A 16,351-nucleotide genomic window follows, 5' to 3' on the forward strand; every position below is an offset into this window, starting at 1 on the left:
GCTGAACTGGTAATACCTCGTGTCATTATAGATCAAGATAAACATGGTCAGAACTCCTTCTGGAGGGCCAGGTTAAAGCCAAAATAAAACAGCAGAACTGATAAATGGTAGTAGGGGTCTAGGGGAGTGGGGGCAGGAGGATGAAGCAAAGCAACTAAATAAAAATAACTTTCTACCTAAATGAGCCTACAAATTCAAATTCCAGAATACATCAATAGATGTAATGCAAAAAACAGTCATACAACAAACTCAACAACTGCAATGGGAATTTATGTCAGATGAAATTAATTTTATAGAAGAGTCTGATAAAGACTTTACATTCGACACATTTAGGAATGTTAAAAATGAAGACATGAAGACATGCCAGCAAGATGAACAATAGACCAAAAATATATAGGCAAACATGAAAAACTGGTTAAGAGAAAAAGCTGATCATAAACCTTAGAAATGGAAAATTTAAGATTTAAATAAAAATATTTTTATGTACAGGCTGAGCACCCCTAATTTGAAAATCCAAAATTCAAAGTGCTCCAAAATATGAAACTTTTTGGTGCCAACATATTATTTTGAGTGCCACAAGTAGAAAATTCCACACATGACCTGATGTGATGTGTCACAGTCAAAATGCAGGCACACAACACAAGCTTATTCAGCATCCCTATGAGAAAAAAGACCCTCTCAGTGGGTCAGCTGCAGCATTTTAATGCATTCCCAGGTTTCCCGACACAACCACTTCACAAAGGTAATATGATGGCACATTTGTAGGCTGATAACAGCAATGGCAGGTTCCCCAGGATGCCCCACGTGGAGTCAAGACCTGCATGCATGACTTATTTTTTTTATTTTTTTTATTTTTTTGCTTATTCTCTACTCTGGAGTATAAAGATATTATTAAAAATATCAAAAGGCCTGCAGATGCCCGTATTGTCAATGGTGATAATAAAAATAGAAAGTATTTATGTTTATCTATAGCACAGAAACTTAAACTGTAGGAGAAATTAGACAGTGGTATTACATGTGCAATGTCTAACAGAAAAGTATGATGTTGGAATGACCACCATATATGACCTGAAGAAATATAAAAATAAACTGTTGAAACTCTATGATAAAAGTTATGAACAGAAATTTATGAAAAATACTCCCAGAAGCTAAAAATGAAGATATTAATTATGTATTTAAAGAGTGCATCCATCAGAGTGGCAGTGAACACATGCCAATTAATGGTATGCTAATCATGAAACAAGTAAAGATATGTCAGTGTGAGTTGAAAATTGAAGAGAACCATGAATATTTAACAGGCTGGTTGCAGAAATTTAAGAAGAAGTTCAACATTAAATTTTTAAAGATTTGTAGTGATAAAGCATCTGCTGATCATGAAGCAGTGGAGAAATTCATTGTTGATTTTGCCAGGGTCATCACTGATAAAAATCTGAGGCCAGAAGAAGTCTATAATACTGATGGCACATGACCATTTTGACATTGTTGTACTAGAAAGACACTGGCTATAGCTGATGAGACTGCCTGTACAAAAATTAAGAATGCCAGGATATGATAACTGTGTTGGTTTGTGCTAATGCACCAGGCAAATTACAATGACTATTTCTGCTATGATAGGCAAAAGCTTTTGTTCTTGCTACTTTCAAGGAGTGAATTTATGACCAGTTCATTATTATGCTAACAAAAAGGCATGGATCACCAGGGACATGTTTTCTGATTGTTTTTGCAAACATTTTGTACCAGTGGCTCACACTTTCTGCAGAGAAACTGGACTGGATGAAGACTGCAAGATTTTGTTATTTTTTGACAACAATTCTGCTCATCCTGAAGTGTTCATCAAAAATCATCTTTATGCCATGAACTTTCTCTCAAATGTCAGTGTATTAATTCAGTCATTTGACCTATAATTAGTCAATGCAGACTGAATATAAGAACACTTTCTTGAAGAGCATGCTGTCAGCAGTGAACAGAGGCATGGTTGTTCAAAGTTTACGAAAGGAGCTTAGCATGATATGTGCTGTTGCCAATGTCTGGAATATAGTGACTAAAGATACAGCTGTGCACATCTGGCACAACCTCTGGCCTGTGACTATGTTTAGTGGTGATAATGAATAAAGCAGTGATCTTCAAGGAATTCATATGTCAAATGAGAAAAACATGATGCCCAACTTTACATATGCAAAAAATATACTTTCAGAGTTCGTGAGTAAGCTGGAATAAGTGGATATCAAAGCAGTTTTTAACATCAATAATGAGGCTCCAGTTGTTCACTCATGAATTAATGGTGAAATAGCTGAAATGATTCTGAATCCAAGGTGATCATGATAATAGTGATGATGAAGAAGACATGGTTAACGCCGCAGAAAAATCCCTATAAGCCATGTGATGAAAAAGTGTGATGGGCTTATTGGAAGACTAGAGCAGCATTTATTCATAACAGAATAAGAAATCATGTCAGTTTAAAAACCAAAGGGAGTTGAATGCAAAAAACCATTGTTAATAAGACAGATGACTCTGGAGAAAACATTTGTAAAAAGTCATCCAGCATGATTTATAGTCCTTTGGGTGTATACCCAGTAATGGGATGGCTGGGTCAAATGGTATTTCTAGTTCTAGATCCCTGAGGAATCGCCACACTGACTTCCACAATGGTTGAACTAGTTTACAGTCCCACCAACAGTGTAAAGGTGTTCCTATTTCTCCACATCCTCTCCAGCACCTGTTGTTTCCTGACTTTTTAATGATTGCCATTCTAACTGGTGTGAGATGGTATCTCATTGTGGTTTTGATTTTCATTTCTCTGATGGCCAGTGATGATGAGCATGGATGAAATTGGAAATCATTCTCAGTAAACTATCGCAAGAACAAAAAACCAAATGCATATTCTCACTCATAGGTGGGAGTTGAACAATGAGATCACATGGACACAGGAAGGGGAACATCACACTCTGGGGACTGTGGTGGGGTGGGGGGAGGGGGGAGGGATAGCATTGGGTGATATACCTAATGCTAGATGACGAGTTAGTGGGTGCAGCGCACCAGCATGGCACATGTATACATATGTAACTAACCTGCACAATGTGCACATGTACCCTAAAACTTAAAGTATAATAATAAAAGAAAAAAAAAGTCATCCAGCAGAATGTCTCTTCATCCCTAGAAGATCCACTTCCTAGTCTCTAAACTGCTTCTGATGTTTCTTTTCACCTAAAAAAAATAAAATATAGTGTATAGTAATCTTTTTGTCAAAACACAGCATGGCAGGTGGAGACTAAAAGTCTGCTGTTGTGTGTTGTTGCTGCCGTTAAACAGCTGATACAGGCATTCTGATGATGCCACTGTGCTGTTGAGTTATTCTGAACACATTATATTTTCACTCAGTTAATAGTATGTTGTATTTTTTACTGTTGAGTACTTACATGTGAATAAATGTAAGAAAATGACTGCTTATCAGTAGTATATACATTCAGAGTCAGGAATGATGGTGATGCCAAACAACCACAGATTGTCCACATGGTTGGGTATGATAGTGGCATCTTTGCTTTCTGATGGTTCAGTATGTACCAACTTTATTTCATAAACCAAATTATTAAAAATGTCAGACAACATTTCCTTCAGCCTATATGGAAAAGATGTATACAGCACATAAATAATTGTATGTTTAGACTTGAGTCCTATCCTCAAGATATCTCACTATGTATATGCAAATATTCCAAGATCCAAACAAATGTAAAATCTGAGACATTTCTGGTCCCAAGCTTTTTGGATAGGGATACTCAAACTATACTTAGGAAACAGAGTTAATGAACTGAAAGAGATTGTGAAGTATTGCACTCGAAATCGGCACAGTAAAACAACACAAGCATATTTTATTTAAGAAACAATAGTAGACAAAGGGAATGGATTAAAACATTATTTTATAACCAAATAGAAATTCTGTATGTTGACTCATGAACTAATGGTGAAATAGCTGAAATGATTCTGAATCCAAGGTGATCATGATAATAGTGATGATGAAGAAGACATTGTTAACATCGCAGAAAAATCCCTATAAGCAATGTGATGAAAAAGTGTGAATGAAGACTGAAAAATATTTAAAATTCAATGGATTAACAACTCAGTATTTTGCAGAAATGAGGAAAGAAAGAATGCTCAGATCAAAAGCCCATCCCAATTCACAAGTAGAATGGATGAAGATACCACAATACATAGTTACATCACAGTGAACTCCTAGAATATTGACGTTCTTGGAAAAATCTTAATAGTTATCAGAAAATAAACGTTATTTATAAAGAAAAAATAATCAGGTAAATAACAGATGATTCAGTAAAAATCAAATTGAAAAGTACAGAGGCTAAACTGCAAATTAGAATGAATAAAACAACTCATTTGACAGTGAGAAAAACTTTTCTATTTTAAGATATGAAGGATTAGTTCAGGAGGAAGAAGGTCCAAATGAAACCTGTGGTAAACAAGAGATTATAGTTGACTATTTTCTATAAGATATATTATTTACTGTGATTTGTAAAGGGCAAAATTCATAATCTGATAAGAAATTATAATGGAATATAAAAGCAGTAAAGGAGAAAAATAGAAGAAGATGACTATAAACTGACAAAGAAAGTATAAATTATATCAAAAACACCAATATGAGTAAAATGATTTAGATTATGCGATTGGAGAAAATAAAATACAGGTATATGCTGTTTACAAGAGACAGTCTTACAATAAAGAAAAAAAAAACTACCCAGGAAGATTGAAAATAAAGGGAAGGTAAAATATCTAATTATAGAAAAGCTCAAATCACTGAAAAGTTATAAAAATTACTTGTTTAACAAATATTTATATGCTGCTATGTGCCGGGCTGGGAATATAGAAATAATCAAAAGAGAGACAACTCCCTGCCCTTGTGGATCTTATATTCTGGTAGAAAGCATCTAGTACACAAAGTTGGCAGAATTACAAGGAGAAATTGACAGATTACACATTGCATGTCTATCAGAAAACTAATATGTGTAACTAATGCTTAATGGAGAAATCACAATGACTATTTCTATATGTTTAGTTTGAACAAAAAATTTTAAAAATTGTGGGATACAGCTTCGAGTTCTCACAGAAAACAAATGTCAATACAATTGGATGATTTGAGGATGGTAATTTACAAAGGCACTATTTAGAAAGGGGTGGGTTTAGGTGAAATCTTCAGGAATCCTTGGACATACCCCAAGCTAAGATCAGTAAACTTGTCACCGTGCCTAGAACAGAAGGGAGCAGGAGAGAGAGCAATTTCCAGATTCTGTTGAGAAGAAATCATTGAAAAGGCTGCCTTGGGAAGTCCATACGTTCAGCGGGGAGACACACTAGCCTAACGGGATCTTGCAAGAAAGAAACCAGTGGTGTAAATCCCCTGAACTTACTCTCCTTCCTGCCCTGCCTCTGGTCTCTTCCAAAGCCTGACATTGGCCAGCTCAACTGGAATCCTTAAAGCAAAGGGTTGTTTGAAGTCATTTGTTCAGATCAATCTGCAGGCTGTAAGCCAAAGGGAGGAAAGGTATCAAGTGCTCTTTAGAAGAAAAGTTGTAACTTGAAGTTAATTGATTTTACATATCAGGATGAACATAATGAGTTAAATTTTGAACTCAAGAATATAAAGAGAATAGAGTAAATCTGGAGAAGGCAAAACAATAATGATGATCAAGGTGAAGGAGAGATTAAAAGACACAGGTAATAAAAATTTTACAAACCATGGTTAAAAGCAATAAAGAAAAACAGCAAAAATCTGTGCTTTGAAGAAAAAAATATAAGCACTCTTTTAGCAATAATAATTAAAGAATGAAAGTGGAAAATTTTCCCAGAAAACCATTTTTACTAACATTAACTTAAGAAATACAAAGCCTTACAAAATCAATAACAATTAAAACATTGAATCAATTATCAAAGTCTCCACTCCAAAAGACACCATGCCCTAGACACCATCTTTGAGGTGTTTTTATCATACCTTCAAGGATTAGAGAGAACAAAACAAGAAAGTAAGATATGATGGCCGAGACAGCTAGCTGACTACTCTTTCTCCCACACCAAGAATCTGTTATTTCTGATGTCTTCATTTGTAGAAATTTTATCTGGTTACAGAGTTGCTCAACTAAAAATGAAAATTCCCAGATATTATTTCAGCTAGGTGTACTATGTAATAGATTCTGGTGAATGGGATGTGAGTTACTATAATATGTAGAACTTTTAGCATGTGTTTTTAAATGTAAGGGAATGTGCCCTTCTTTTCTTCCATATCTTGTCCTCAATTGCGAGGATGCGGACACAGTTGTCACAAGTGGAGCAGCAATTTTATACTACAAGACGAAATCCTAAATTGCAGAAACCAGAGCAACAAGGTAGAGCCTATAATGCCAACAGTGTGGAACTGCAATATCAATCCTGGTCTTTATATGAGGGAGGAGTGTCTGTGTTTTTGAAGCTTTTATTACCTTGGACTTTGTCATAGTAACTTGATCAACATTTGGTAACGGAAGAGGAATATTGCCTTAACAGCTAACCGATTAACTCGATGGTTGGGTACAGGCAGAGAACACGTTACTGTGGCAAAATATTTGGTGAGAATTGTGCCTTGAAGGGGAGACAAAATGTGTTGAGAATACATTTCAATTTCATGTAACTGGTTGGAAAATCAAAGCATGTTGGTAGATATAAGTGACTACTTAAAATTTTTAGCAAAGTTCCCTGCGAGAAATTAGCTCAGGGTGTTGACTTTTTGTAATAAGGCCTCCTTACAATAGGTAAGATTTTGGCCCTGAGCTCTGGGCTCTTCTCAAGGGCATCATATTGAGGCCTCCTTGCCAAACAATGGGAACCAATGCACTAGCATAGATCATACTAAGAAGGTTGCCCCAACCTCAAGGTGACCTCAAAGTAGCCACCATTGTTTAAAGAGAGAGATACACTTTGGGAGGCTGAGGCAGGCGCATCACCTGAGGTCAAGAGTGCAAGACCAGCCTGGCCAACATGGTGAAATCCCGTCTCTACTAAAATTATAAACAATTAGCGAAGCGTGGTGGCACATGCCTGTAATCCCAGCTACTCAGGAGACTGAGACAGGAGAATCACTTGAACTTGGGAGGTGGAGGTTGCAGTGAGCTGAGATTGCACCACTGCACTTCAGCCTGGGTGACAGAGCCAGACTCAATCTCAAATAAATATATATATATATATAGAGAGAGAGAGAGAGATGGGCATTACACAGAAGCAGTAAAGACCAATATTTTCAGATCATTGAGAGTAACAACCACTTGTAGCTAAACTCCTGCTATGACAAGCAAGAAAATGAGAAAACTGCATGAAGTATAGGAATAAAAAAACTATCTTCAGGCATCAGCCTACAGCCAGTGTAGAACTGTGACCCCTGAGGAGAACATCAAATAAGGGAGGAATTTAAAATTTGCCAAGCTTTCTGCCTGGAAGCAATTTTCAGACTGCAGCCCTGAGAAGGGCATCCCAGAGTGCCCAGTGATGTCTGGAGTACAGGAGACAGAATGAGGAGTTGGGAGAGGCTAAGACAGATAGAACATATGAGGAGACCACCTGAGAGAAGAAGAAAGGCATCTGAGAAATCTGTGTAGGGTCCCTAGTAGTCTTTGACTGAATATGAATCTTTGTATGCATACAGTGCAAACCCATAAGGCTAAAAATTGATAGAACTGCCAACAGAAATAGAAAAATCCACAACTATAATTGAGTATTTTAATAGCCCTCTCTAAAAATGGATATGAGAATTGAAGAGAAATTAGCAGAAACATAAAAACACTATAAACAAATTTGACCTATTAGCATTTATAGACTATGTTATATAATAACAGCAGAATATACAGTATATACAAAGGAACAGGAAATATTTACCAGATGAACTATATTCTGGGTCACAAAATAAGTTTGGACAACTTTTAAATAATTATTTTTAAACAGAATATATTCTCTGACCCTGTAATAGAATTAAATTAGAAATCAACAACAAAGACCTCTAGAAAATTCCTAAATATTTTGAAAGTAAATCATTAACATAAATAAACAATGGATCAGAAAAGAAATCAAAAGGATACTTAAAAATCTGTTTTGAACCAAATGAAAGTGAAAACATAGAGTATAAAATTTTGTGAAATGGTTCAAAAAGGGCATACGGTACTTTTCATAGTACTGAAATACTATGTTGGAAAAGTAGACCTTATGATAGGTCTGCTAAATGACTAAAGTTATCACCTTAAGATACTAGAAAAAGTAGATGATAGGAATCCCAAACAATGAAGAACAAAGGAAATTTAAAAATGAGTGAAATTAACTAAATAGTAAACAAGCAACAATAAATCAATGAAACTTAAAAACTCATTTTTTGTGAAGACCAATACAATGAAAAAACTAACAGTCAGATTTATCACAATAAAAAGAGAAAAAAGAGAGAGAAGGTACAAATTGTCAGTATCAGGAAAAAGAGTGCTTATCTCACTACAGATTCTACAGATACTTACAGGAAAATAAAAGAATATAAGAAACAATATTTTGCCAATTAATTTAAATGTTTAGATTAAATGGATGGACAATTTTCTTTTGCAAGAGACAAACTACCAAAGCTCACTAAAGTGAAAATAGATAAACTGAATTGCCCTGTATTTTAAAAGTCATTTTTAAATAGCTTGAGATATAATTTATATTCGATGTAATTTGCTTAAGTATAAAAATCAAGGTTTTCCAGAATATTCATAGAGTTGCATAATCATAATTAATTTTAAAACATTTTTGTCACTTCAGAAATAAACCCCAACCTCATTAGCAGTCATTTTCCATTTCCCTCCCAACTCCTAGACTGAAGCAACTGCAAATCTACTCTTCTTTTTTCTACAGATTTTCTTATTCTGGACTTTTTTGTATAAGGAATTATAAAATATGGTCTTAGGTGGCTCTTGTTGATGGAAATTTGGTTTGTTTCTACTTTTTGGCTATTATGAATAATACAGCTATAAATATTCATGTACAAGGTTTGATATGGACACTTATTTTTACATATTTTTTATTTTTCTGGAGTGTATTCTTAGGAATAGAATTGCTAGGTCATATGGTAACTCTATGTTTAACAGTTTGAGGACATTTCATGCTGTTTTCCAAAGTAGCTACTATTTTAAATTCCCACTAGCAATTCATGATGGTTCTAGTTTCTTCACATCCTTGTCAAAACTTGTTCTTTTCTGCCTTTTTTTATTTTGGCCATCCTACTGGGTGTGAAGTGGTATCATATTGCAATTTTGATTGCAATTCCCTAATGGATAAAACATCGAACAACTTTACTTATGCTTATTGGCCATTTTTATATCTTATTTGAAAACAATGTTTATTCAGATTCTTTCCTCATTTTAAAATAAATTATCTTTTAATTATTGAGTCCTGAGAGTTCTTTATATATCTTGAATAAAAGTCTATTATCAGATATATGATTTGAAAATATTTTATCCCATTTTATGATTGTCTCTTCACTTTCTTGATGGTGTTCTTTGAATCACAAATTTTTTAAATTTTAATGGAGTCCAATTTATCTATTTTTTATCATGTTGACAATTTTTCTTTTGTATTCCCATCAAAGAAGCCATTACCTATTCCCAGGCCACAAAGATTTACTTCTGTATTTTTTCCTAAGAATTTTATAGTTTTAGCTTTTACATTTAGGTCTATTATGAATTTTGAGTTGTTTTACATATGTTGTGAGGTGGGGGTCCAACTTCGTTTTTATTTTGCGTATGAATACCCAGTTGTCCCAGCATCATTTGTTGAGACCATTCCTGATCATTAAATCATTTTTGGCACACTTGTCCACAATTAATTGACCAGGCTGGGCGTGGTGGCTCACAACTTCACTCCTGTAATCCCAGCACTTTGGGAGGCTGAGGCAGACGGATCACCTGAGGTCAGGAGTTTGAGACCAGCTTGGCCAACATGGCAAAACCCAGTCTCTACTAAAAATACAAAAATTTGCTGGGCGTGGTGGCAGATGCCTGTAATCCCAGCTACTCAGGAGGCTGAGGCAGTAGAATTGCTTGAACCTGGGAGGGGGGTGGAGGTTGCAGTGAGCTGAGATGGCACCACTGCACTCCAGCCTGGGGAATAGAGCTAGATTCTGCCTCCCCTGCAAAAAAAAAATTAATTGACCATAAATATGAGGGCTTTTTAGTGGACGCTTTATCATATTCCATTGATCTTTGTGTTCACCTCTATCCCTATACCACACTGTACACTGTACTATTGTAGCTTTATAAGTTTTAAAATTGGAAAGTATGAGTCATCTAAATTTGCTTTTTTTTTAAGATTATTTTGACAATTCTTGGTCCTTTGCTGAATTTCTATAATTTTATCTTGCCTCAGCATTCATTTTGAATATAAATTAGACTCCCATACCAGAAGCAGACCATAGTCATCTCTGACACAGTTTTCCTTCTCCACCTCCTCTCACTTCCTCAATGTGGCCAATCTAAATATCTGTCTTACAGGGGAGGAAACAGCTAGGTACTACTTACTTACTCACTGCACTGGCCCCCACCCCTGTATGAACTGCATAGATATGCTGCAGTGATCACCTCTCAGTCACAGTATGATTCCACATAACTTGTGCCTGCTTGCTGTAAACCCACCAGTTAGAAATCCTTGTGGGAAATCTGCCTATGTAACACCTTGCACTGCAATTAAGGCATTGGCCCAGAGGTACCTGCCTCTGTCTTTCTTGCTCCTCATCTTCTGGTTGAGTGTGTATCCCAGATAGCTCTCCCCTTCCCATTGGCCCCATGAGGCATGCTGCTCTCTTCTCTCTATGATCGGTAGGTAATAATCTGTTTCTGTTATTTCATGTGTTTTGTTGCTTTGCCTCCTCTTTGTTTCACCTGACAGGCATACTGAAACATAGATTTTTCTCTGGTAAGGGCTCTCCTAAAGAGTAGGAATAAACTGAACACAGGTCGGACAAGAGACACAGTGTGCCTGCCAATGTGAGCAAGTTTCCTGTGAGAGGTACACCTGGTCATGGGTCAGCCACTTAGGCACAGGCCATCTGCCAGGATGAAGAAGCATCACATAAAAGGCACACTGTAAGTATCCATGACCAGATCCCCTGGAGCCCCATCAAAACCAAATTAGAAACCCCTGGAGCCCACTTCAAAACCAAATTAGAAAGAAAAAACAATATGACACTTGCTTTTCCATACAAGTTCTAGATTCAACTTGTCAAATTAAAAAAAAAAAAAACAACAAAAAAAACAAATTTTGTTAGGGAATGCATTGAATTTGAAGATCAATTTAGGGATTTCTGACTCTGTGTCCCCACCCAAATCTCGTGTTGAATTGTGATCCCAGATTTTGGAGGTGGGGCCTGGTGGGAGGTGATTGGATTATGGGGGTGGTTCTAATGGTTTAGCATTATCCCCCTAGTTCTCTCTTGCGGTAGAATTCTGATGATATCTACTTGTTTAAAAGTATGTAGCACCTCTCACCCCCACCCACCACACTCTTTCTCCTGCTCTGGCCATGTAGGATGTGCTGGCTTCCTCTTAGGCTTCTATCATGATTGTAAATTTTCTGAGGCCTCCCTAGCCATGCTTCCTGTATGGCCTGTGGAACTGTGAGCCAATTAAACTTCTTTATAAATTACCCAGTCTCAGGTAGTTATTAATAGCAATCTAAGAATGGACTAATACAGAAATTTGGTACTGGGAGTGGGGCATTGCGATAAAGATACCTGAAAATGTGGAAGTGACTTTGGAACTGGGTAACGGGAAGAGGTTGGAACAGTTTGGGGGGTTCAAAAGAAGACAGAAATGTGAGGGAGGGTTTAGAAGAAGATAGGAAGATGAGGGAAAGTTTGGAACTCCTTAGAGACTTGTTGAATGGGTTTTGACCAAAATCCTGGTAGTGATATGGATAGTGAAGTCCAGGCTGATGAGTTCTCAGATGGAGGCGAAGAATTTATTGGGAACTGGACTAAAGGTCACTCTTACTATGGCTTTGCAAAGAGACTGGAGGCATTCTGTAGCGATCTGAGGAACTTTGAACTTGAGAGAGAGGATTTCAGTTATCTGGCAGAAGAAATGTCTAAGCAGCAAAGCATTCAAGATGTGGCCTGGCTGCTTCTAAAAGCCTACACTCATTTGCATAAATAAAGAAATGAGGCCGGGCGCAGTGGCTCACGCCTGTAATCCCAGCACTTTGGGAGGCCGAGGCGGGCGGATCACGAGGTCAGGAGATCGAGACCATCCCGGCTAAAACGGTGAAACCCCGTCTCTACTGAAAATACAAAAAATTAGCCGGGTGTAGTGGCAGGCGCCTGTAGTCCCAGCTACTTGGGAGGCTGAGGCAGGAGAATGGTGTGAACCCGGGAGGCGGAGCTTGCAGTGAGCAGAGATCCCGCCACTGCACTCCAGCCTGGGCGACAGAGCGAGACTCCGTCTCAAAAAAAAAAAAAAAAAAAAAAAAAAGAAATGACCTGAAACTGAAACTCATATTTAAAAGAGAATCAGAACATGAAAGTTTGGAAAATTTGTAGCCTGGCCATGTAGAAGAAAATAAAAATCCATTTTGTCTGGAGAAATTCAAGCCAGCTGCAGAAATTTTGCATAACTAAAGAGGAGCCAAATGTTAATAGCCAAGACAACGGGAAAATGCCTCCAAGGTGTTTCAGAGACCTTCAGCGCAGCCCCTCCCATCACAGGCCTGTGCTTCTAGAATGGAAGAGTGGTTTTGTGTGCCAGGCCCAGGGCCCAGCTGTTCTGTGCATCCTTGGGACATGGCACCATTTGTTCTAGTCACTCCAACTGAAGCCATGGCCAAAAGGTCCCCAGATATATCTCAGGTCACTGCCCCAGAGGATGGGAGCCTTGGCAGCCTCCACCTGGTATTAAGCCTGCAGGTACACAGAGAGCAAAAGCTGAGGTTTGGGAGCCTCCACCTAGATTTCAGAAGATGCGTGTAAATGCCTAGACATTCAGGCAGAAGTGTGCTGCAGGGGCAGAGCCCTCATGGGGAACCTCTAATAGGGCAGTGTAGAGGGGAAATATATGGTTGTAGCCCCCACACAGAGTCCCCACTGGGGCACTGCCTAGTGAAATTGTGAGAAGAGAGTCACAGTCCTTCAGACCCCAGAATGGTAGATCCACAAACAGCTTGCACTGTGTGCCTGGAAAAGCCATAGACACTCAATGCCAGTCTGTGAAAACAGTCATGGGGCAGAGTTGCCCAAAGACTTGGGATCCCACCCCTTGCATCAGTGAGGCCTGGATATAAGACATGGCACCAAAGGAAATTATTTTAGAGCTTTAAGAGTTATTGACTGCCCTGCTGGGTTTTGGACACGCATGAGGCCTGTAGCCCCTTTGTTTTGGGCATTTTTTTTTCTTTTGGAACTGGAGCATTTACTCAATCCTTGTACCCCCATTGTATCTTGGAAGTAACTAACTTCTTTCTGATTTTACAGGCTCATAGGTGGAAGGGACTTGCCTTGTCTCAGATGAGAATTTGGACTTGGACTTTTGAGTTAATGCAAATGAGTTAAGACTTAGAGGACTGTTGAGAAGGCATGATTGTGTTTTTAAATGGGAGAAGGATGTGAGATTTGAGAGGGGCCAAGGGTAGAATAATATGGTTTGGCTTTGTGTTTCCACTCAAATCTCATGTTGAATTGTGATCCCGAGTGTTTGAGGTGGGGTCTGGTGGGAGGTGATTGGATCATGGGGATGGTTTCTAATGGTTTAGTGCTGTCTCCCTAGTGCTGTCTAAAGATAGAGTTCTCACAAGATCTGGTTGTTTAAAACTGTAGTAACCACCCCCTTCACTCTCTCTTCCTCCTGATCCAGCCATGTAGGATGTGCCAGCTTCCCCTTTGCCTTCTCGCATGATTATAAGTTTCTTCAGGCCTCCCCAGCCATGCTTCCTGTATAGCCCACAGAACTGTGAGCAAATTAAATGTCTTTTCTTTATAAATTACCAAGTCTCAGGTAATGTTCTCACATTATAGCAATGTGAGAACAGACTAACACAGGAGTATTACCATCTTAACAATATTAAGTATTCTGATTAATGACCTTGACATGTATTTTCATTTATTTAGGTTTTCTTTAAGTTCTTTCAAGAGTGTTTTGTAGCTTTCAGTGTGAAAATTTTGTAGTAATTCTGTTAAATTTTCCCTAATTATTTTATTCTTTTTAATGCTATTATAAATATAACTGTATTCTTAATTTCATTTTTGAATTGTTCATTACTGGAGTATAGAACTACAGTTCATATTTATGTATTCATCTTGTAACCTGCAACACTGGTGAAATTGTTTATTAGTAGACTTCTTGTGGATTCCTTTTGATTTTCTATATACATCATCATGATATAGACAAATCATGATAATTTATTTTACTTCTTTCTTTCCCATTTGAATGCCTTTTTAAAAATCTTTCTTGCCTAGTTGTCCTGTCCAGAGCTTCCTCTTCAACTATTAATAAATGTGGTAAGAACAGGAATCCTTATGATGTTCCTGATTTTAGGTGGAAAGCATCAAGTCTTTCACCCTTAAGGTAGCTTAATGAAGTCAGCTGTGAGGGGTGTGTGTGTGTGTGTATGTGTGTGTAAAAGAGTGGAACATCACTTAAAAACTTTTCCGTAAAGAAAACACCAGGTCTACAGAGGAATTCACAGCTGAATTCTACCAGATGTACAAAGAAGAGCTGGTACCATTCCTACTGAAACTGTTCTAAAACATGGAAAAGGAGACACTCTTGCTAACTCATTCCGCAAGGCCAGCATCATCCTGATACCAAAGACTGGCAGAGATACAAGAAAAACAGAAAACTTCAGGCCAATATCCCTGATGATCATCGATGCAAAAATCCTCAACAAAATACTGGCAAACAGAATCCAGCAGCACGTAAAGAAGCTTATCCATCAAGATCAAGTCAGTTTCATTCCCAGGATGCAAGTTTGTTTCAACATATGCAAATGAACAAATGTGATTCATCACATAAACGGAACTAAATACAAAAACCATATGATTATCTCAGTAGATGCAGAAAAGGCTTTTGATAAAATTCAACATTCCTTCATGTTAAAAACTCTTGATAAACTAGTTATTGAAGGAACATACCTCAAAATAGTAAGAGCCATCTATGACAAACCCACAGTCAACATCATATGGAATGGGCAAAAGCTGGAAGCATTCCCCTTGAAAACTGGCACAAGATGAGGATGTCCTCTCTCACCACTCCCATTTAACATAGTATTGGAAGTTCTGCCCATGAGAATCAAGCAAGATAAAGAAATAAAACGCATTCAAATAGGAAGAGAGGAAGTCAAACTATCCCTGTTTGCAGATGACATGATTTTATATCTAGAAAACCCCATAGTCTCAGCCCCAAAGCTTCTTAAGCTAATAAGCAACTTCATCAAAGTATCAGCATACAAAATAAATGTGCAAAAATCAATAGCATTCCTGCACACCAACAACAGTCAAGCTGAGAACCAAATCACAAACTCCCATTTACAATTTCCACAAAAGGAATAAAATACCTTGGAATAAGGCTAACATGGGAGGTGAAATGTCTCTAAAAGGAGAACTACAAAACTCTGCTCAAATAAATCAAGGATGACACAAAGAAATGGAAAAGCATTCCATGCTCATGGATAGAAAGGATAAATTTTGTTAAAATGGTCATACTACCTAAAGCAATTTATAGATTCAGTGCTATTCCCATTAAACTATCATTCACATTCTTCACAGAAGTAGAGAAGAGTATTTAAAAATTCATGTGGAACCAAAAAGGAGCCTGAATAGTCAAGGCAATCCTAAGGGGGAAAAAAAAAACAAAGCTGGAGGAATCATGCTAGCCAACTTTGAACTATACTACAGGGGTACAGTAACCAAGACAGCATGGTACTGATACAAGAACAGACACATAGACCAATGGAACAGAATAGAGAAATCAGAAATAAGACCACACACCTATAACTCTCTGGTCTTTGACAAACCTGACAAAAACAAGCAACAGGGAAAGGATTCACTGTTTATAAATGGTGCTGGGATAAGTGGCTAGCCATATGTGTAAAATTGAAACTTGACCCTTTCCCTACATCATATGCAAAAATTAACTCAAAATGGATTAAAGACTTAAATGTAAAACCCAAAACTGTGAAAACCCTGGAAGACAACCTAGTTAATACCATCCAGGGCACAGGCATGGGCAAATATTTCATTGCAAAAATGCCAAGAGCAATTGCAACAAAAGCAAAAATTGACAAATGGGATGTAGTTAAACTAAAGAGCTTCAGAACAACAAAA

This window comes from Homo sapiens, chromosome 13 (assembly GCF_000001405.40).
Source record: "Homo sapiens chromosome 13, GRCh38.p14 Primary Assembly".
NCBI lineage: Eukaryota > Metazoa > Chordata > Mammalia > Primates > Hominidae > Homo > Homo sapiens.